Source organism: Homo sapiens, chromosome 6, assembly GCF_000001405.40.
Source record: "Homo sapiens chromosome 6, GRCh38.p14 Primary Assembly".
NCBI classification, from domain to species: domain Eukaryota; kingdom Metazoa; phylum Chordata; class Mammalia; order Primates; family Hominidae; genus Homo; species Homo sapiens.
In genome coordinates, this window is record NC_000006.12 from 50,757,261 (window position 1) to 50,780,675 (window position 23,415).

The 23,415-nt window shown below is 36.1% G+C and overlaps 1 protein-coding gene across 1 annotated transcript in view, besides 1 other annotated feature; it reads left to right on the forward strand.

The window, feature by feature from the left end:
• The window catches only part of TFAP2D (transcription factor AP-2 delta), a 59,508-nt gene extending 43,735 nt beyond the window's left edge, over nucleotides 1-15,773 (forward strand). Inside the window, exon 8 of the mRNA NM_172238.4 lies at nucleotides 15,385-15,773. Coding sequence (NP_758438.2) covers nucleotides 15,385-15,604 — 220 coding nt within the window. The 3' untranslated portion in view covers nucleotides 15,605-15,773. The remainder of the gene's footprint in view (nucleotides 1-15,384) is intronic.
• Nucleotides 22,602-22,802: a silencer, noted in NCBI's record as "peak5845 fragment used in MPRA reporter construct". NCBI's record gives its function as "represses an SCP1 promoter by STARR-seq MPRAs in K562 erythroleukemia cells {active_cell/tissue: K562}" and the evidence as "EXISTENCE:reporter gene assay evidence [ECO:0000049][PMID:32103011]".

Sequence of the window (23,415 nt, forward strand, 5' to 3'; positions counted from 1 at the left end):
TATATATACAGAATATGTATATCTCTCTATATAGATATTCTCTATATTCTCTATATTCTCTATAGATATATATATCTATATAGAGAATATATGTAATTATTCTATATATAGAATACATGTAATTATTCTATATATAGAATATATAATTATTCTCTCTATATAGAATATATATAGAATATATATACTTATTCTATATATATATAATATATATAATTATTCTATATATATATAATATATATAATTATTCTATATATAGAATACATATAATTATTCTATATATATAGAATACATATAATTATTCTATATATATAGAATATATATAATTATTCTATATATATAGAATATATATAATTATTCTATATATATAGAATATATATAATTATTCTATATATATAGAATATATATAATTATTCTATATATATAGAATATATATAATTATTCTATATATATAGAATATATATAATTATTCTATATATAGAATATATATAATTATTCTATATATATAGAATATATATAATTATTCTATATATATAGAATATATATAATTATATATATAGAATATATATAATTATATATATAAATATATAAACTTATAATATACAAGAGTGATGCTACAATAGAAGATTAAGCATACTGGTAATTTTTCCTGGGGAAATAAGGAAATTTCATCTTTTTATCCATAGTACATAGCGAATAGTATGTATGCAATAAATATATGTAAATAAATGTAGATTATAATAATATCTCAATTGGGTCCTGTGTATATTCTCCACTGGTTCATTCTCAGGGCCATGATGTTTTAATTGGACGATGGACTAGGGAAGTAAAATGATCAATGTGCTTAATTCTCCTATTTAACTCATAAATTATCCTGACAGCCTACCTTCTTAGAAATATACCCTCTTACTACTGCCTTGGGAAATAAGGAATGTATAGACAGTCCCAGACATTTGTGTGCTTGCTGGTGATTAAATTTTCTTCATTGATTCTCAGTGTTGGAAGGCCCCTAACATTTCCTACTCTCCTTCAATATTTAGACCTTCTCTCCAACGTCTCTGTCAAGTTATCATCCATCTCAAGCTTGGAAACTCTCAATAATAGACTGCTCTCTATCTTTGACAACTCTATTAGAAATGCCTTCCTTCCATTTCCCAATGTCCCACTTCTTGTGGGCTTTACAGAGTTACTTTCATCCTGGTTCCCTCCCACTTTCTAAAGGCAGTTCTCATGTCTTCCCTAGTTTTCTCTTCAAGGGTTATTCATTCCCATTTCCTTCAGGGTTCCACATGTGACATGCCTTACAGTCAACTCAACTGGTATTTTCTGATTGCTCTATTCTTGGCAACACGCTGAAGAGCAGATATTTGTCTCTACTTAAATGTGAGCATGTTTAGTTTTCTCCAAGAAGCCTAAAGTGTGCATAGTTTTTGTTTTTTGTTTTTATTTTGTTAAATTTTCTTGAGATGGAAAAGTGGCTGGGAAGGTCATCAACGGCGGGCAGTTTTCTTCACCAAGCATTCTTTAGTGTGAGAAAAGAAACAATGAAATTTCAATTAAATCTGTAATCTCAAAAGCAAGGGTTAGCAGATATGAGTTAGGGGAGATCTTCCTTGCTAAAACTGGATTTTTACAAGGAAATGCAAAGATGGGCCTAGGAGAAGGTTCAGAAGCCTGCCTAAAGTTTACTCAAGCAATGAATCTTTGTCAGGAGACACATACATTAAAGCATCCATGGCAGGGCTTTTGATGAATTTTTATGGATTTTTAGATTTAGCACATAAGAGACTAGTGGTTAAAACAATAGAAGCCAGAGGTAATTGTTTCTAATTAAAAGTTGCAAACATGACCCTGTAATAACTACATGTGTGAATAATTGGCTTTGGGGAACACATACATTGTGGAAGAGTTTGGTTAATTTTTATTTAAATATTGTCTATCTTTGTTGAGCTATTGACTGGAGAGAAATCCACAGAGAGACAATATGGCATGGTGGGAAGCACTTGGAATTAATTGTCAGGGGATCTAACTCAGTCTCCACTTGGTTACCAGCTAGATGTGTGGATTTAGAATAGGCATTGCACCCGTGTGACCTCTGCATGTTCATGAGTCAATGCAGTTAAGCTGGGTGATCTCTAAGGTTCTTTTTAGACCAATAATATTTTACTCCATTCTGAATTTACTGATTCATTTTAAATCATTACTTATGCTGAGTTTCTATATCATCTCATATCTGCTTTTTATGTTTTCTCAACTTGCTCATCTTAAAACATCAACAGTTCGATAAAATTCATTTTAAAAAGCTTAGCATTTTCATTCCTCTATTCCAAACAGAAAATACATCTGATAGGGAGAAATGTAACAAGATGGTTAATGTACCCCTATAAAAATCTCCATTCTCATATGTAAAAATTATGGTGCAGGCATCAAATGTTATCACTTTCAAGAAGCTGACTTGGATGTAATTGATTGTAGTCTCTTCTAATGTATGTGCAATGATTTTTATTTTAGCCTGCTTTGCTAATGAGCTGAACTGAGGTAAAATGGAGTCACAAGGACCCATTCATTCCCCTTTGGGACCTCAAAGTAAGTGGCTGAGGAGAACAGAAGGAATGTGACTTTAGGGCAGTGGATGAGCACACATCTCCCAATCTGACAGAGATTCAGGGTAGTCATAAACATACTTCCCCAAATTGAGTTTCATAGAGCACTAGTCAGTCCTATGAGATGCTCTCTGAAAGCGTTTCATGGCCAAGTGTTTTTTTGGTTAAAGAAACCCTAATTATTATACCTATCTTGAAGTATGACAATGCATATTGGCATACCAAAGACTCCCAGAACCCTTTTTGAAAGGAGGTAATACCTAGCCACAGTTTCTAAAACTTGATCATGAAAACTGTTTTTAAATCTCAGAGTACATATTAACATTACATAAAACTAAGATTCCGCAGAAGGTCTTGTGGGAAATGCTGCAGAAGTTTATCATCCTCTTTTTCCCAAGGAGGAATGCAGACATAATAGTTAGGCATTATTTCTTGGTTGTAAGGAGACATACTGATTTTTTTCTCTGCATTTAAATGGAATGAGGGTTGTTTAAAAAATACTGATGCTTTGGATTCATCCCAAACCAATTAAATCAGGGTCTTTGGGGTGGGACACATACATTACTATTTTTGAAATAAGCTTTGTGAGTGATTTCTTCTATGCATCTAGGGTTGAGAACCACCAACTGAAGAAACCACAGAACATTTGAGAGTGTTGTCAAGGTTTTGCTTAATGAGTTGATGTCAATGATTCTTCACCACCAGAGAACTAGATACTTTAATTGTGTATCTTAATTAAATTCCATTTTAAAAGTACTTGGGACCATGAGATAAGATAATCTATGTAGAAAATAAGCATCATCAACTGGTTTCACCTTTCATCTGCTTTCTGAATCATTTAGGCTACAGAGAATAGATGCCATTGAGTTCTGGAGGATAAGACCCAGTTACATGCCCCATGGTAAGGGTCTCTCTCCATGGCCTACATTTAGAAGTTGTGCTGCTTTAGAGATAAAGTGTCTAATACTCAGAGCCGTGAGAGGAAGTAAGGTTGGGCGGAGAAGACCTACAATTCTTTGCTGTTGTTGTTGAGGGTCTGTTCCCCAGACTCCCTCTCTACTGGCTGTTCTCATGAGTAGAAGGCACTTATCTAGTAGCCACCTAACACTGTAGTGAGATTATAGACTGCACTTGGACCTAAGCCTGTGGTAACTGAATAATCTTAGAGGAAAGGAAAAGGAGATTTGTCTTCCATTTAAATCTTACTGTTTGCATCCTTCCCAGAGGGCTAAAAGCAGAACTGAGTGACATCAGTATGCAATTCTAGAAATAAAAAGATTAGTGATAGTAAACACCCATTGAAATAATGCAACATAACAAAATAATAGGAATAATAACCCAAACACCATTTCAACCTTCACACACACCAAAAAAAAAAAGGTGAGGGAGAAAAAAGCTTGCTTGCTTTTTCAGGTAAAAAGTTGAAACTTTACAAAATGAAATTAGCTTTTAGTCAAATTGCTTAAATGATGATGGCAGGCTATTTTCTCTTGATTTTCAGTCTTCTAGTTTGTAGCATGATAGTGTCTATTACCTCCAGCTTTTTGTACCCCAAAAGAAAGCTAGAAAAATTTATCTATGGTTGGCAGACACAACTGAGTGATCTAATCTTCAGTGACAAATACTAAAGAGACTTTCATTTCCTTTATAACACATATTGAATCAGTGTTTGCTTAGTAGGTAGAAAGGTGCTGGATACCAGGCGCAACTCTTGCCAAGATAGGAAGAATTCAGGAGAGGATTCCATAGAAGGTTGCTTCAGTCTATGTTTTAGAAAATTGCTTTACTGGTCTAATTTAAATTAGTTTAGACAAATCAATTAAAGTAAAGATAAAGCATTTTTGAAGGACAATTAGAATAATATGGACACAGCTTTGTAGCATTTATCTAGCATACAATTAAGCTAGTGAAATGTAAACTATACTTACTTAGATTAGAGAAAGTAAAATAGCTCTTATTCCTCTAACATTCAGATTCCTATACTAGCTTACATTCTAAGTAAGAACTGAAGCTTTGGAGATTTTAAAGATAAATGTAGGTAAGGCCTTGACCATGAGCAAGAAATGCACTTAACCAGGGATTATAAGGTGCAAAGAGAAGTTTGTGAAATTCCTATTATATGGAATTTTCTGATAGGTCCTCATCATTAATGTCAAGCAATTTCTAAGTATAAACACTGTCCAAGTTAAAAATGGATTGTTGCTACCACCTTATTAGTAAAACCACACAGGGAAAAAGAAGAAAGGATTAAAGTGTATTTTCTTTCCAACAGCAGTCTCTTTTCTTCCATCCTCTATTCTACCTCTTCTCTTTCATTTGTGAGCCTCAGTTTCTATAGTTTTGACACCCACTGTTAAGAGAATACAGTTTGAATGGTTGCAATACATTTCCATGTAAAAAGTTATAGACTATATCAGTAAAACATTCAGGTCAAGGCCACTGGTCAAGAAGAAGATGCCATTTTACAAGTCCACAGGTGCACACACACTCTTTCTCTCTCTTTCACACATATATGCATACACATACACACAAACACACTACACACACGAGTGCAAAATCTCCCTAGGAATGGCTACTCTACCCAGTGGTATTCTTCAAATCATTGAAATGTAAACACTTAGGGAAGAAACCTGACACTTAAGAGGAAAACGGAAAAGTAGAGCTTCACCTCTGAATTCAGTAAACAGTTACCTCCTTCCTGAACTGAGCCAATTTGAGGAGATGGTTTATGTTGCAAGAAAGGTGCTTTAGAGAATGTTAATTGGGAGGTCTAGCAAAATAGGAGCTTTTAAAACCATGAATAAAATTAGGAAGATGACTGTTAAATATAAGTTACATTTTCCCTAACATCAGGTGCCATAAACTACACTAGTCTGAGTTTTCTCAGCAGGTGATGGTATTGTTCACAGTCAGTTGTCAGAGCCTTTCTGCTCCTCAGTGTGAAATTAGTAATAGGAAAATGAAATCAATGAGCTGTAATCTAGTTAGAGACAGAGAGAGACAGAGAGAGAGAAAGAAAGAGAAAATGAATGAGAATATAGTCCAAGGTAGATGCAGTCTCTAAGTCCGCCTAGCTATGCTCCAAACCTCAAATTTTGACCTTTGCCTTTTTAGTTTAGACTTTACTGATTTCGTAAAGCTCTTTCCTATGAATAGCCCTTCAGTCAGATCTTCTTCTTAGTATATTGCGACACTAATTTGCTTTTTACCCAAGTGGACATGTTTTCCTTAATCTCCCCTAAATTTCCTATCATTGATTTTGGCCCAACAATTAAGCTGTCTATCACACTAAGGTTTTTCAGAACTTTGGTTCTGTTATACAATGCAGAAACTTTCCTCTTTATTTTAATACCAGCCATTAAGCTAAAAATCTATGATGCCTTCAATCACATTGTTAATTAATGTGTCCAGCAGAGTGGGATTAATGACAGCCTTGCAGCACTCCACAAGAGACATCTTTCAAGGTTGACAACTGCCCTTACATCCACACTTTGGGTGTCATTGTACAACCAGCTGTGAATTTCCCTTACTTTGCTGTTATCTAGCTTACCTTCCTCCTCCCCTCCAACTTTTCTTACAGTATGTGGGGAGACTTTGTCAGATGCATTGCTGAAATCCTGCACTCAATTATATTGCTACTGCTCTAATAACTCATTTATAAAAGGAAATACACTTACTTTATTACATATCTTACTAAATCCATGCAGCATTTCAGTGATTACTTCTACTTTTTAAATACTAACACTTCAGCTTTTTAATAATCCATTGTGAACAAATTGTCATAAATCCATTCAATGGAATACTTACCAGCAATAAAAAGAAACAATATATTGATAAATACAACATAAATGAATCTGAAAATTATTATACTAAATGAAAGAAGCCAGTCATGAAAGTCTATAGACTTCATGATTCAGTTTATATGAAACTCTGGGGAAACGTGAAAATTATAGGAACAAAAATGAGAGCAGTGATTGCCAGGAGCTGGGGCTTGGGAGAGTGAATTGACTGGCAAACACACGAGAAGCTTTTTGGGTAATGGTGGTAGTTACACCACTGTGTGGGCTTGTTAAATTTCAACCAACTGTAAGCCTGAAAAGAGTAAATATTACTATATGCAAATTCAATCTTGATAAATTCAAATTTTGAAAATATCCCATTACAGAAATGTGTTAGACTAATTAAATATAATTTAATAACCCAGAGTTTCTAAAATCTTTTTTCCTCCTGCTTTAACTATTAAGGCATGTCTCTCTGTTTAATTGTACTACTTTATGTCCCATCTTCCAGGATTTCTCAAAGATTAAAGATTACCTAACAACTTCATTGTCTCTGAAACATGTGCTTGTGTTTTCTTTGTCCATAAATAGGTGATTTCTAGACTTAAAAAAAGGTCTCAATTTTATTTATTATACTATTGCCAGCTTTAAAGATTGAGCTCTGAAAAGAAAGCAAAGAATTATTTAATCTTTCATATGCTAACAGAATACTCTTCCCTGCAAACATTAGGCCTATCTGCACTATTCCTTTTTCTCATTCTTGGAACAAAACTTTGAAACAAAACCCTACAAATCTGGGCATCAAAGATTCCCAAATGAAACCAAGAAACATTTAGCTATTCATTAATTCAATTATTACATACGCTGCTGTGCAATATATCCATGCAATGAAACTACATTTATATCCCTTTAATCTATAAAAATAAAAATAAAGGAATTAGTATTGTAATTAAAATAAACGTAAATAAAACTGTTTAAGGAAAAAATATCACTGCAGAAACTGGTGTCCCCACTCCTTCTTCCCCAGGCTAGACGCCTCCTGGAGGTGACTAATACCTAACTGCTGGCAGATAATGTCAGGTGAAGTATGCATTGATAATAATAGTTTTCCATCTCAGACCTGTTTATTTTCTTACCAGCTTTATTGAGGTATAATTGACAAATACAAATAAAATATATTTAAGATGCAGGATATGATGATTTGATATATATTGTGAAATGATCACAACAATCAAGTTAATACATCCATCACCTCACATAGTTACATTTTGGGTGTGTGTGGTGACAACACTTAAGATATACTCTCTTAATTATATCTTGAATATATATAATTTTCAAATATATAATGCATTATTCTTAACTATAGCCACCATGCTATACAGTAGATCCCCAGAACTTATTCATCTTATTACTGAAAGTTTGTACCTTTTGACCAACATCGCCCCATTTCTGTCACTTCTTAGCCTCTGACAACCACCCTCTACTCTGTTTTTATGGTTTGGCTTTTTTAGATTTCACATATAAATGACACCATACAGTATTTGTCTTTCTGTGTCTGGGTTATTTCAGTTAGCATAATGTCTTCCAGATTCATTCATGTTGTCAAAATGGCAAAATTGCCTTCTTTGTTATGGCTAAATAATTTTATATACATCTTGACTATTAGAAATAATGCTGCAATGAACATGGAGTTTAGATATCTCTTTCAGATACTGGTTTCATTTCCTTTAGATATATAACCAGAAATGGGATTGCAGGATCATGTTGTCATTCTAATGTTTAAGTTTTTGAGGAACTTTCATAGTGTTTTGCATAATGGCTGCGCCAGTTTGCTTTTCCACCAACAGTGTGCAGGGTTAACTTTTATCTACACCCTCACCACCACTTATTTCTCAGCTTTTTGAAAATAGCCATCCTAACAAATGTGAAGTGATATCTCATTGTAGTTTTAATTTGTGTATCACTGATTAGTGATGTTTAGCATCTGTTCATATACTTACTATCCATTTGTATGTCATCTTTGGAAAACTGTATGTTTGTGTCCTAAGCCCATTTTTAATATCAGGTTATTTGTTTTTTTTTTCCTATTGAGTTGCATGAGCTCCTTATATATTTTAGATACTAATTTTTGTACCAAATGTATGGTTTGCTAATATTTTCTCCCATTCCATGGGTTGCCTTTTCATTTTGTGATTGTTGCCTTTACTGTGCAGAAGTGTTTTTCATTTGACCTAATCCCATTTCCCTATTTTTGGTTTTGTTGCCTGTGCTTTAGGTGTCATGTCCAAAAAATAAAGCCAAGACCAATGCCAAAAATATTTTTCCTTCTAGGAGCTTTATAGTTTTGGTCTTTTATTATGTTTCAGTTTTTAATCAATTTCAAGTTCATTTCTGTGTATGGTGTATGGTGTAAGATAAGGATCCAATTTTACTTTTTTGCATGTGGATACTCAGTTTTTCTAGAACCATTTATTGAAGAGACCATCCTTTTCCCATTGTGTATTCATTAAGATCTTGTCAAAGATTAGCTTACTACATATATGAGGGTTTGTTTCTAGACTCGTTCTGTTCCATTGGTCTATGTGTCTGTTTTTATGCCAGTACTATACTGTTTTGATTACTATAGCTTTGTAATATAATCTGAAATCAGTAGCATGATATTTTCATCTTTGTTCTTGTTTCTCAAGATTGCTTTGGCTATTTAGGGTCTTTCATGGTTCCCAATGAATTTTAGTGTTGTTTTTCCTATTTGTGTGAAAATGCTGTTTAAATTTTGGTAGGGGTTGCACTGAATCCATAGATTGGTTTTAGTATGGACATTTAAAAAAATTAATGCTTCCAATCCATGAACACAGGTTATCGCTTTCCATTCATTCGTGCCTTCTTTAATTTCTTTCATTAGTGTCTTATAATTGTTAGTATACAGATCTTTAATCCTCTGTGGTTAAATTTATTCCTAAGTATTTTATTCTTTTTGATACTATTTATTCCTTTTGATACCATGAGATTGCTTTCTTTTTTTTTTTTTTTTTTTTTTTTTGAGACGGAGTCTCGCTCTGTCGCCCAGGCCGGACTGCGGACTGCAGTGGCGCAATCTCGGCTCACTGCAAGCTCCGCTTCCCGGGTTCACGCCATTCTCCTGCCTCAGCCTCCCGAGTAGCTGGGACTACAGGTGCCCGCCACCGCGCCTGGCTAATTTTTTGTATTTTTAGTAGAGATGGGGTTTCACCTTGTTAGCCAGGATGGTCTCGATCTCCTGACCTCATGATCCACCCGCCTCGGCCTCCCAAAGTGCTGGGATTACAGGCGTGAGCCACCGTGCCCGGCCTGCTTTCTTAATTTCTTTCTTAATTTTTCACATAGTTCACTGGTACTGCTTAGAAATGCAACTGATTTTTGTATCATGCAACTTTATTGAATTCATTTATTATAACAGTTTTTCACAGAGTCTTCAGGATTTTCTAAAATCATATCATCTGCAAACAGAAACAATTGAACTTTTTCCTTTCTGATTTGGATGCTTTTTATTTCTTTCTGTTGCCTAATAGTTCTGTCTAGGACTGCCAGTACTATGTAAAATAGTAATAAAAGTGGTAAGAGTGGGCACCGTCTTCTTGTTCCTGATCTTAGAAGAAAAGTTTTCAGCTTTTCACTATTGAGTATGATGTTAGCTGTAGGCTTGTCATATATGGTCTTTATTATGTTGAGGAACATGATTTACCACTTGTAGTAAAAATCTGATATACCTGGATTGTCAGTTTTGCTCTGATGCTACCAATGTTATTCCCATTCCTCTTCCTCACTTTGTGACAGAGAGTTTAGCCTCACCTGTTTTCTTCCCATTGTCCCCTCTGTGCTATAGTTTTACATTTGTTTGGGGATTGTTACTTCTTTCTCCCAGGAATTTTATTTAAGTCCTCTCATCACTTTGGCAAGTTTCTATCCTTTGGAAGTAACACACCTGTTTTTCAGGCATGAGGAAACTAATCCCTTTTTCATCAGTATCATCAAAGAAATTGTGAGTTTCTTTGAGTGGAATTTCAATTGGCTGAGAGAGGGAGGACACACAAACACACAGAAATAGGAATAACGGTCATGTTTGGGTATTAAAAAGAGATAAGCTTGAGATAAACTTTGCAAAAATAAGGTAATAGAGCACGTGATTACATAGGGTGAAGGAAGGCAACCTAGGAAACATTAAGAAAACTGATATGACCTGTGAATCCTCTATAGTCACTGTTCTTTTACAAATGTAGCATAGACATGACTTATCTAACACAATGCAAGTTGTCTCCAGGGCCTCATTGAGGATAGAGTTTTAGAATTTAGAATTTAAGTAACTTCTATATTTTGACTGCCTATTTCAAACCATCATGGGCCATTTAACCCTGGTGATATTTGCATGTGAAATGCGCTCTCATCAGTAATCTGGTGAAATTATATGCAAATGCCAAGGGTAACTTAAATATCAAACCTGTAACTGAAAAATATTTTCCAAAGTTGAAAATCATCTCTATTGTCAAAGAGTTTGAAGATTTGACTATAGTTCGTTACCTTGCAGGTGACCTTAGTCTTATTTTTTTTTTTTTTTTCCTGTCTAGGATCAAAAGTCAGACCTTCTATTTCTAATTTTCTTTTTTTTTTTTTTTTGGAGATTCTACATTATTCCTCTCTCCTTTTCTTTTTTCTCTCCCTTTTTTTTTTTTTCTTTTGAGATAGAGACTTGCTTTGTTGCCCAGCCTGGAGTGCAATGGTGCAATCGTAGCTCTTTGTACTCTCAGGTTCCTGGGCTTAAGTGATCCTGCCACATTGGCATCTCAAGGCTCTGAGATTACAGGCATGAGCCACTGAACCCAGCCCCCTCCTTTTCTGTATGTCACTGTGAATGAGATACACACCTATTTTTCTGGATGACTGGGGCTAAAAGAATAGCATGATGTTCCCAGAACTTTTTAAAACATACTGTGATTGCACACTTCTTTTTACATTATTGTAGTACATTAGATTACTTTAATTATTTGGGGTTCATAAATTTCACTGAAAACTGCTAGAAAAGAATCTTTGCCTTACATTTATTATCATTCTGTGCAGTGTGCTATGCATATTTTTAATATGCAGGTAATGTTAAATTAGGTAATTAACAAAATTTACATAATGTTTTTCATATTGAAAGATGACCTTTCAGGTCATGAAAGTCAAAATGACTTTTTTTTATATTGAATATCCTTCAATTGATTTTAGAGTTCTTTGTTGAACGAAGTGGCTTTTTTTTTTTTTTTTTGAGACAAAGTCTCCCTCTGTTGCCCAGGCTGGAATGCAATAGCACGATCTTGCCTCTGCCTCCTGGGTTCAAGCGGTTCTCCTGCCTCAGCCTCCTGAGTAGCTGGGATTACAGGCATGCACCACCACACCCGGCTAATTTTTTTTTTGTATTTTTAGTAGAGACAGGGTTTCACCAGTTGCTCAGGCTGGTCTCAAACTCCTGACCTTGTGGTCTACCTGCCTTGGCCTCCCAAAGTGCTGGGATTACAGGCATGAGCCACTGCGCCCAGCCCTGAAGTGGTTTTTCAACTTCCATAACCTGTGTCCATGTCCTTGATTTTAATAACACCATAAAGATGTTATACTCTTAAATTGAAGCTTAGAGTTGGAAAGAACCTAGCAGATGTTCTTGTTAGACTACTGTCATTTTACAAGGCTAAATAACTTCCTCCAAATCACGAAGTGCCTGACGTCAAAGCCAGTGTGAGGACTTGGTACACTTGGTTCTCAATCCAAGGCAAAGATGACAATGCAGACTGCTAATGATCAGATCCATATTTTGGAACAAGAAAGCCCATCAGTCAAGAAGTGATACCAGCTTAAGAGGAATCTTTAAATATGGAAACAGCTCTTTTCTCAAAGTGGATAATAAAAGCATTTATATATAACTACCTACCTGTGCTTGATTTTTAAAAACCCTGCTCTTAGGCAGGAAAGTGAGTAAAAAGCATCTGATTTTACCAGCCATCAAGGCTGCCCAAGTACAAAGTTAAGTCAGAGGAACTGAGCTAAAACTGCCCACAGAAAATGTGATTTCTCAGAGAAAAATGTACCCTCAGCCTGGGAGGAACATAAGTACAGAATATCCAATTTCTCAGGCAAATTATTTAACTTCTCTGGGACTCAGTTCTTCGTCTGTAAAATGGAAATAATATTATCTAGTTCTTAGTGTTGTAACTAGAATTATATGAAGTGATACAGATAAAAAACTTAGAACAGGACTTGACATATGTTCAGAACTCAAAAATTAGATATTAACTTCAATAATACCCTGTGAAACTAAATAATATTGTATATTCTGCTATAGATGAAGAGGTGAGTCACAACAAAGAGGACATGCCAATATAGAAGAAAATTTAAAAAGGAGCTCTAAACAGGAATAAAACATGAGAAAAGAGACAGTTTGTGCCTGGGGTCAAATATCTGGACATTAATGGTTGGCTTTACCCAGTTCTTTTTGTGGGTATCACCATGATTAATTCTTCCACCACTCCAACAATTCCATTTGTTGTCCAAGATCCCAGATAGATTTCAAATTATTTGGCTTCCCCTCTAGTTGTCTCATTGTAGAAATAGAGCTTAAATTATTTTTCCTGTTTGGCAATGCAAGACCTTGTAGCAGAGGTGTGGATATAGTAGTTGAGCAGTGATGATGTCTTACACCACAAACTTTGGTGCAGATAATTGCCCAAGCATTGGCCATTGTTGTTTCCCACATAATCAGAGATGGGAATTTTTTTTTCTTTTTAATATATGTTAACTATGATGGAGGCTCAGGGAAGAAAGATGGTAACAACCTATGGAATAATGAGGGACATGCAGAAATTTTACCCTCTACCCAGAAAATATACCCAGCCAACAATCTCTATCATTTATCTAAGACTTTGTTTAGATCTGCATCCTTCTGAGCCCTTTGCGTAGACTAATAAAAACAACAACCCCACATGGTAGATCTTACTATTACCTCCACTGAGGCATATTAATAGGCTGCCTTAAACCCCAAATCCTTCATTTGTATTATTATAAAATATTATTATTTTTGCTGTTAAAGATTATGTAACTTAAGAAAGAAAACTATAGGTAGCTAAAATATTATGAAGGGTGGTATATCTGATTCAAAAACTACTAATGTCATAATAACAGTTACAAGCTAGGACTTTAGCAGTTAATGGCTTTATTAAATGTACTATACACATATGCACAATGTTGTATATATATATATATTATAACATGGGCATACTATGTGACAAGGATGTTTTTCTATATTATTATGAGACGTAGGAAGCAAACTGGTAGTGTCACTTCGGGACAGTTAACATAAGTGAACAATCTGGGTAGCTTCTGTTCACAAGAAGACTAAATCTACAGTTATGTGTTTGTTCAACCAAAGATGACATTTGTCGTGGTTGGAAGAACTACCTATGCTGAGGTTACCATAACATTCCTTATATTTGCTTATTAGTTTTTGTTATTAGTTAATTAGTTAGTTTTCGGGACCTAAATGTTGGGTGGCTTACATAAGACAGGGTTTTATTTCTCTCTCATTTAGGAGTCTGGAGATGAATAGGTTCCTTCTAACTTGTTTTGTCCCTGCCACCTAAGCGATTATCTACATAGGGCATAGCTACCCTTTTAAGCAAGTGGGAATTGCATGTATCACTTCTCTTTATGTTACATTGTGGGTAGGTTAAGTCCCATGTCCAAAACTCACTGCAAAAGAAGCTTGGAAATGTAGTCTCCAGCTGGATGGCCATATGCCCAGATTAAAGTGCATTACTATGGAAAAGGAGAATGAAGTCAGAGGGACAGCTAGCCATGAGGCACACTCAGCCAATTATGATTTCTTCATGTGTAGTCTATGCCATATATGCCATTCTTGAAAGCAAGATGTTTCCACACATAGAATCTAAAGGTGTGTTTTCCAGCTACTTCTTAATGAGGTGGAGAATCAAGTCATGTGTTAAATATTTAGACTTGGTAATAATTAGTGCGTATCAATCAAAACCACAATGAGATACCATCTCACACCACTTAGAATGGCGATCATTAAAAAGGAAACAACAGGTGCTGGACAGGATGTGGAGAAATAGGAATATTTTTACACTGTTGGGGGGACTGTAAACTAGTTCAACCATTGTGGAAGTCAGTGTGGCGATTCCTCAGGGATCTAGAACTAGAAATACCACTTGACCCAGCCATCCTATTACTGGGTATATACCCAAAGGATTATAAATCATGCTGCTATAACGACACATGCACACGTATGTTTATTGCGGCACTATTCACAATAGCAAAGACTTGGAACCAACCCAAATGTCCATCAATGATAGACTGGATTAAGAAAATGTGGCACATATACACCATGGAATACTATGCAGCCATAAAAAATGATGAGTTCATGTCCTTTCTAGGGACATGGATGAAGCTGGAAACCATCATTCTGAGCAAACTATCGCAAGGACAAAAAACCAAACACTGCATGTTCTCACTCATAGGTGGGAATTGAACAATGAGAACACTTGGACACAGGAAGGGGAACTCACACACCGGGGCCTGTCATGGGGTGGGCGGAGGGGGGAGGGATAGCATTAGGAGATACATCTAACGTAAATGATGAGTTAATGGGTGCAGCACACCAAGCTGGCACATGTATACATATGTAACAAACCTGCACGTTGTGCACATGTACCCTAGAACTTAAAGTATAATAAAATATATATATAAATAATAATTAGTGCATATCAACTCTATTAACGACAAGTCTTCCAAACTGGTCCTACATTTCTTACATAGTCAAGAGCAATACCTTCAACTGTGTTGTATCTTCCACAATGCTTAGCATCATTTAGGAACACAATGAATACCTGTTTAATTGAATGTTCTGAATTATATGGAGAGATTTGCTATTTCACATGATACTGCAAATCATTCACCTCTTTTTTCCTATCACTTCTCATTTCCAGTTTGATCACTCATGGCTTTGGGACTCCGGCAATATGTGCAGCTCTAAGCACTTTCCAAACAGTTCTCAGTGAAATGCTGAACTACTTGGAAAAACACACTACTCACAAGAACGGCGGAGCGGCGGATTCTGGCCAAGGACATGCCAACTCGGAGAAAGCTCCCCTGCGGAAAACTTCAGAGGCTGCCGTGAAAGAGGGCAAAACAGAAAAGACAGACTAGCTACATCAAACAGAATCTATTTCCAGAGAGTCTTGCTGCTGATATTTTTTCTAATATATATATCATTGAGGGTGACTAATCTTCAGTGGACCAAATCTCTACCCTTCCCCAACCCTCCATAAAAAAACAAAAATGGAAATGAAAAATGAAACAAAAAAGGACAAAACCAAAAAAAAAAGAAAAAAAAAGGAAAACAGCAGTGTAACTGTGTGATGAAATTGTCACCTTTTAATTTTATGTTATGATAAACTCCTTTGTGCACGTAACTTATTGTCTGAATTATATACATCACAGTTTTTAAGCACTTCTGGACTTTGGAGAGGCAGCACATGCTTTTTCACATCTAACTGATGCACTTTCTTACCCAACTATGTAGGTAGGGATCAGAAAGCATAACCAAACTGGAATCCACCACCAGTACTTACAGCTCCAGTCTTTCTCGACTTAACTCCCTTTAACTGAAGAGTGCCTCATTCCACTAAATAGATCAATCTGGAAATTAGTCTATTAATAAATATTTGGGTAACTGAAAAGGGCAGTTATGAATCTGTGAGTTGACAACAGATCTAAAAATTTTGATCACCCCTAGCCCGCTTAACTACCAGTGCCTTGGCGGTATTTAAAAATTCCAGGAAACTCTCTCATATCTATGACATTCCCACCTAATCCCAGGTCCATTTTACCCCACCCCAATAGCTAAGAAGATACTGGAAAAGTATATTACCCAAGGGATAAGAGATGAACTCTTCCATCCATTCTCTTCACATCACCAACCTAGCAATTCAAGAAAACAGACCCACTGCATTTAGTGGGTCAGGGCAGGATGGATATAGGAAAGAGTAGCTTTGCCTCTGTTGGGCTCCTGATGGAAAGCAATGGCATTGTTTTGCCTGGAAAAGCATGGGAATAGGAACAGTGATCTTTCTGGGAAGTCCTGCTTCTCAGAGATGGGAGAAAAGAACAGGGACCTAGGAGAGGCCCCTGGAAGTGCTGGTGGCCAATGATTGTATGGTTAAGATGAGAGCCTTCCTTTTTCTGCTTTTGTGCTTCTTCTACCTGCCCGATGGCTGTATTCTAAACCTTTAGAGGCACAAAAGCATTCAGGTCTGTGTTCAATAAAGAGAACAGAAACAGTGATCAGAGAAAACTTTTGCTTTTAAGATGCTTTCTTTTTTCATAGCTTGTTTTTATAACTTCATTGTCCTTTAGTTAAGACACTGAAAACAAGAGGTTCCTGGCTGCAAAGGCAAGGGGCTAATTGAATGAAAGTTTGGTCCGTATAAACCTGAATGTGTCAAGAAACCTGATTGGTATCACATTGTACTAACCTTTCTACTATTAACAATTCTCAAACTTCTAGGCCAATAAAAATGTAGGTCATTGTCTATGTAAAAGGAAAAAAAGAACTCTTTTATTAATGTGTGGACTCCTGACAGTTTAAGATGAAAACATTCTCCTCTCATTAACATATTTAATTACTTTTTAAAAGCCTCTATCATATTATAACCCCATGGGAAATATTAGTATTATTTTTAATTGAGGGGAAATAGCTCAAGAGTTTTCATGTAAAGATCACAAAAACTGTTTTTACCTAACAATAATTCTTAAAAATTATTTGACCTTGATCTTCAATCTTGTACAGAAAAGTAGAACCATACCAATGAAAAATTAGATTTTCTAGCCTAAATTTAATTAACAGAAAACACTACTAAGGAATTCCATAACAGAAGAGCTTAAAATAAAGAAATGTGAAATAATGAATTGTGATTTCATGTGTTTAGTTCCATTTTTAAAATTTTTCTATTATTCATGGCTTAAATTTTTTTTGAAATAAAATAGAATAAAGCCAAAATTCTGCCGCAGTTCCAAATTTTCTCACAAAATATATGATTTAATCTTACATGATATTTCCCATATTGTAAAATATACACATGAAATAAAAATGATCAATATTTCAGTTTAATAAGTAATAGGAAAGTTATGTACAGATAATGTGGACAATTACTTCCTCAATTAAATTTCCACATTAACTTGCTTTTATTCTATTTATTATTAACAATACATATGTATTTAATATGGCATTTTGATATGCATATCTGCTAGGTACTTTATGTAGTTATATACCATGTCAAATGTTCAACAATAATCAGACAAAAAATTAGATCTGGCTTATATTACCAGCTTACTTTTTCACCTTTAGCTGTGACTAGTTGGCATTCTAAACACCTCAATGGGATGTTATTACTTACTAGCCTTGGAAACAAAAATATAACTACAGTGCATTTTATTTACCAGGATTCAGGGTGTTTTAAGAGCCTTAAATGGACAGCGCCCATCATTTAACTTAACCAGCCACTAGGATATAAAAGAATTGATGGACTGGTCATATTTAGAATCATTATCATATTCTAATAGACATTGTTAACATACCAACTTTTGCCTTGTATATAATAGGTACTCACCACTTTTTAAATAAATGAATAAATGAATGTGTGTGTGTTCTTTGTCCAAAATGGGCCAAAGGACCTTTTAATTTTGATTTTTTTTCAGTACTCAGTGCTTTAATCTGGTTTGCTTCCTCCATTGTAATTTATAAATAATTATTTTTATTTGAATAAGAAAACATTTCCAAGAAGACACATTAGTTTCAGATAGATATATTTCATATGGAACAATAAAGAAAACTAGTTAGTTATTAGGATTTCAACAAAAGTGAAGTTATTACCTTTATTGTAGTTTATGGTAAAAGAAGATGGCTTGGACCGGGTGTGGTGGCTCACGCCTGTAATCCCAACACTTTGGGAGGCCGAGGTGGGTGGCTCATGAGGTCAGGAGTTCAAGACCATCCTGGCCAATATGGTGAAACCCCGTCTCTACTAAAAATACAAAAATTAGCTGGGCGTGGTGGCAGATGCCTGTAATCCCAGCTACTCAGGAGGTTGAGGCAGGAGAATCAATTGAACCTGGTAGACAGAGGTTGCAGTGAGCCGAGATCGCACCATTGCACTCCAGCCTGGGGCGACAAGAAAGAGACTTCATCAAAAAAAAAAAAAAAAAAAATCTAAATAAATAAAAAGTAAAAGAAGATAGCTTGAAAAAAATCTTTCTGATTTTTAATATTATGATAAATAATGGAAATGCTTTTTCAGATAAACTATTACTTCCCCAGAAAACGTATTCAAATCTCTCATACTTACCCCAAATTAATAATGACAGCATAACAGTTTTATATTTAAAACTTAATGGAAAGTAAAACTTTTATACAAAGATATGTTTGTTTTAAGACTGTTTCAATAATCCATTTAATGCCACTATCATGGATATGTCGAGTTACCATTTGACTTAAGAGTGGTGGCTCTAGAAAAATTAATGAAAATTCAATTACTCTGTTTCTTCTCTGGAAAGATCAGAGCAATGCAAAAATGCCCAATCGATTCTTCTTCTGCCTTCTTTTTAGATGCCTTAAAAATAGAGATAATCCTTCCTGGCTTTTCAGTTCCTTTTTTTCCCATTTTTTGAGAGTATGTTCTCTTCAATGTCTAGAACAAAATATGACCCTTTGGGACCTATGAGTACCTTGATCCAAGTGTGACAGTGATAAGAGTTCAGCCCTCTGTCATGTAGTGCTTTTAAGATAAATGTGTCAATAAACTATTCTTGTTAATAATGAGTAAGGTAATACAAAACATTTTCCTGTATTTTCTTGCTTCTATGCCTCTTTGGAAGCATTTTAGAGCAGTGGAATTTAAAATATATATATATATATATATACACACACACACATACATATTTGAATTCTTTACACAATGAGTGTGCCATCTCCTTACAAAAACCAAGTCAGTATGTGAGAGGTGTCATGACCTATAGTGTCTAAGAGTATGGACTAGAAAGCCAAACTATCTGGTTCAAATCAAGGCTCTCTTACTTGCTACTGCCTGACTCTGAGCAAGTTGCCACACCTCTCTGTGCCTCCTCCATTTTCCCATCTGTAAAATGAGGATGATAATAGATACCTACTCACAGAATTACTGTCAGAATCAAAGACTTGGTGTATCTAAACTGTTTAGAGCAGAAAAGGGGCATGTTAGTGCTATGTGAATATTAGCTACTGTCTTTAATACTTAGAATTTGGACAAATCATTTTTTATCTAGAGATCAGTTTGTCTTCAGCTTATTGTACCCTTTCTATGCCAGACTTCGTCCTAGAGACTGAAGATACAGAGTGGAATAGAATATTTTTATTGATGTCAAGCTTCTCATATTCTCCTATGAAGATAATAGCCATTAGAATATGGTATGTGTCATGATGAAAATACACACAGGGTGCCCAGCACAAGCCAGACCAGGATCTAGGAAACAGGAGATGGGGGGAGATGGGAGAGTGAAAAATTGAGGAGGAGAGTTGTGATCAGGGAAATGGGAAGCTAGAGATCGGGAAAAAGGGCTTTAGGATTCTAGGAGACTTAAAAACATTTGGGGCAGTAAGCTATTTTGAAAACTAACAGACACACCTTGTATTTCTGGTTATTCCTACCTTCCTTCCACATTTTGGGGCAGCTAACATGTTGCCTGCACTGCCTCAGGGAAGGAATGTGACCCAGAAGAATGGAGGCAACAAAAGTTTTAAAGAAACTTTCATAAAAATTTTCAGTTTCAAAATCTTAGGCTCTAGAGGGGACTTGAGATTTAAAAGCATCTCAGTCAGGACCTTATTACTTCCACCCGCTCCGAAACCTCCCCCACAACACCACACACACTGGAGACCAGAAAATAATCCATAGGTTGGGGAAAGAACAAAGAAGAAGGAGTTTTTTTTGTTGTTGTTTGCTTGTTTTTTGAGATGGCGTCTTGCTCTGTCGCCCAGGCTAGAGACGGTGGCACAATCTCGACTTATTGCAACCTCCGCTTCTTGGGTTCAAGCGATTCTCCTGCCTCAACCTCCTGAGTAGCTGGGATTACAGGTATGTGCCACCACGCCCAGCTAATTTTTGTATTTTTAGTAGAGATGGGGTTTTGCCATGTTGGCCAGGCTGCTCTTGAATTCCTGACTTCAGGTGATCCACCCACCTCGGCCTCCCAAAGTGCTAGGATTACAGGCATGAGGCACTGCGCCCGGCCAAAGGATAATTGTTTAAAGCTTAGTGTAGCATTGCATCTCTGAGATAGGGCCATGTCCTGGGGGTGAGGTTGGGGTGTGAATCTTGTTATAGAGGTGGAATTATGTCCTCATCCCAGAGAAAAGCCCAGCGGAGGAAGAAAGCCCAGCACAGTACAGAAGCAAAGAGCTGTCTATGTGATGTGCATCTAGGCAGGTGGCACTCAGACAGACTCACATTTCTCCTAAGGAGTTTATTTCAAGATGGCAGGGACAGACTAGCATGATGTGGATGCAAGAGGAACAAAGGAAGCAGCACTTGAATATTTCAGGTTCACCCAAGAGCAATCCAGATAGCTGGCAAGTATGCAGATTCCTCATAGGTTGAACATAAGGACACACAAGAAAAACCTGAGACATGCCAATCAAAGACTAGATAGGAATTCAGACCTTCCCCCTACTCAGGGATTTCAAAGAGAATGAGTTAAACAAGTGTTAGAAGGCCGAAAGAGCAAAAATGAGACACTGAGTCACCCAAATGCTCGTAATTGAAAAAGCAGCTACCATCCCCAGAAATGGGGAAACAAAAGTAAGGAAGTAAAGTTACGTGAATGTAGGAACTTTGAAGCAAGCACACCCCTACCCATGGGTGTTGCTTGAACCTCTCTCTGAGAGAACCCACCTCAAGATTAATGCTGGCAGATTTTTTGAGAGGGTAGAGCGTCCTAATTCTGGGAGTGCAAAAGAAGCTGGAAGCTGGAGCCTTAACCTACCTCTTCTGCTGGAAGGATGATAGCAGGAACTGGAAATATGCTGGAACATCCTTTCCCCCCTTTCTTCCTTCCTTCCACTTCCCATCTGTGCCCCATTGCAGAACCAAATTAGAATCCAGCTTGCAAAGGGTTATGAGAAATGTAGTTGGCAGACTTCCAGGCCTAGCATCACAAAATACAGAAGCCAGCATCAACAGATGAAGACCTAGGCCAGATGTTCCTCCATGTCTGGTGCTACATAAGCCCTCCCCATGAAACCCTGGGACACATATGTAACCCAGGAAGACCCTGAGTGTACTGAGAGCTAATTTCTGCCACATTTCCAAATGAAGGCTCAAAAATAGAAATTAAGTCACATTATAGAAAATAAAGTGACATTTTTCATATAGCCAAATTGGCAGACACACCTACTACACAAGTAAATTATCTATTTCAGCTACTTCCCATTTGCATCATAATTTAATAAGACCAAGACACTTAAGAAAAATTGAAATAACTAAATAAATCCCCATAAGAGTCAGAAGAAAAAAGTTTAATGTGGCCATGTTGGTTATTGCCAGTTAGAACCTATTGTAAGTTTTCAAAGCTATTCTTTAATATTGCATTTCCTTAATTTTTTTATATCAAGAGCTATTTGGAAAACAGGCACAGAGGTATGATATAAATTTATGTTTAGTCTTCCTTCCAAGTTGAGTCATGATGTCTTACTGTCAATAAAACCTAACTGTGGGTTTAAATATTGTCTTTTGTTTTCTCACCATCAGCGTTCTCCCTGGGCAACATAATGTTCTACCATAATTTCAATTACATGTCTTTTCTCATGGCAGAGACCAATTGTCATCTAACAAAGTCCAGTTTTCCTTTGTCCTGCCGTATATTCCCATATGAGAGATTGGCAATTTTTTTTAAATAAAGGGCCCAATAGTAAATATTTTAGTCTATGCAGGCCATGTGGTCTCTGTTGCAACTACTCAACTCTGCTGATGTAGCATGAAAGTAGCTATAGACAATATGTAAACAAACGGCCATGACTGTGTTCTGATAAATCATCATTTACAAAAGTAGGCAGCGGATTGGATTATTCCTGAGGGCCATAGTTTGCCAATCTCTGACCTAGACTAAACTTCTTGTTGTTTGCAGCCATGCGATTAAGTTATCTCCAGAGGAAGAGTGGGAGTGATACTTGCTACTTCCAGGATTTACCAGTAAAAATCAGTCATGCACTTTTCTCTGTGTTCTGTCCTCTTCTACATGAGTTATATGATAAAGTTCAGAGCAAGGATTCTCCACCTTGGCACTATTGATAAAGAATTATCTGGCACATTTGGGGCCAGATAATTCTTTATTATGAGAGCTATCTTGTGTGCTGCAGGATGTTTAGTAGATTTTTGGTTTCTATGCAGTAGACTTCAGTAGCATCCCTCACAATTATAAGGAGCCAAATTATCTCCAAACATTGCTAAATCACTCACAGTTGACAGCCACTGTTTTACAGATGGCAGAGACACAAGATAGAGAGTACCTGGATCCCGGAATGGCCACATGGAGAAGAAGCACACATTATTTTGACCTAAACATATATTATTTTAAGCCACTGAAATTGGGATGAGGGAGGCTGGGAGGGTGTATTTACTACTGTAGCTTGCCTGTCTTGGCACAATGCTAATGAATTATAAATCCATAATATTCTTCCGCACTCCAGATCCATGTTGTCCATTTTCAATGGTTATTATCATCTTATGAAAAATAGCATCTTCGAACTCAACACACATTAAAATATGGAATCCTAATCAACCTCCCTCAACTAATTACACATCCCAAATTTTCTATGTTTGCTAAAGACAACTCCATACAGTTGCGCAAGACAGAAACTTGTGAACCATCTTAACTATCCTTATCTCTATCCTCTCTTACAGTTAATCACTAGATTCTGATAAATTAAT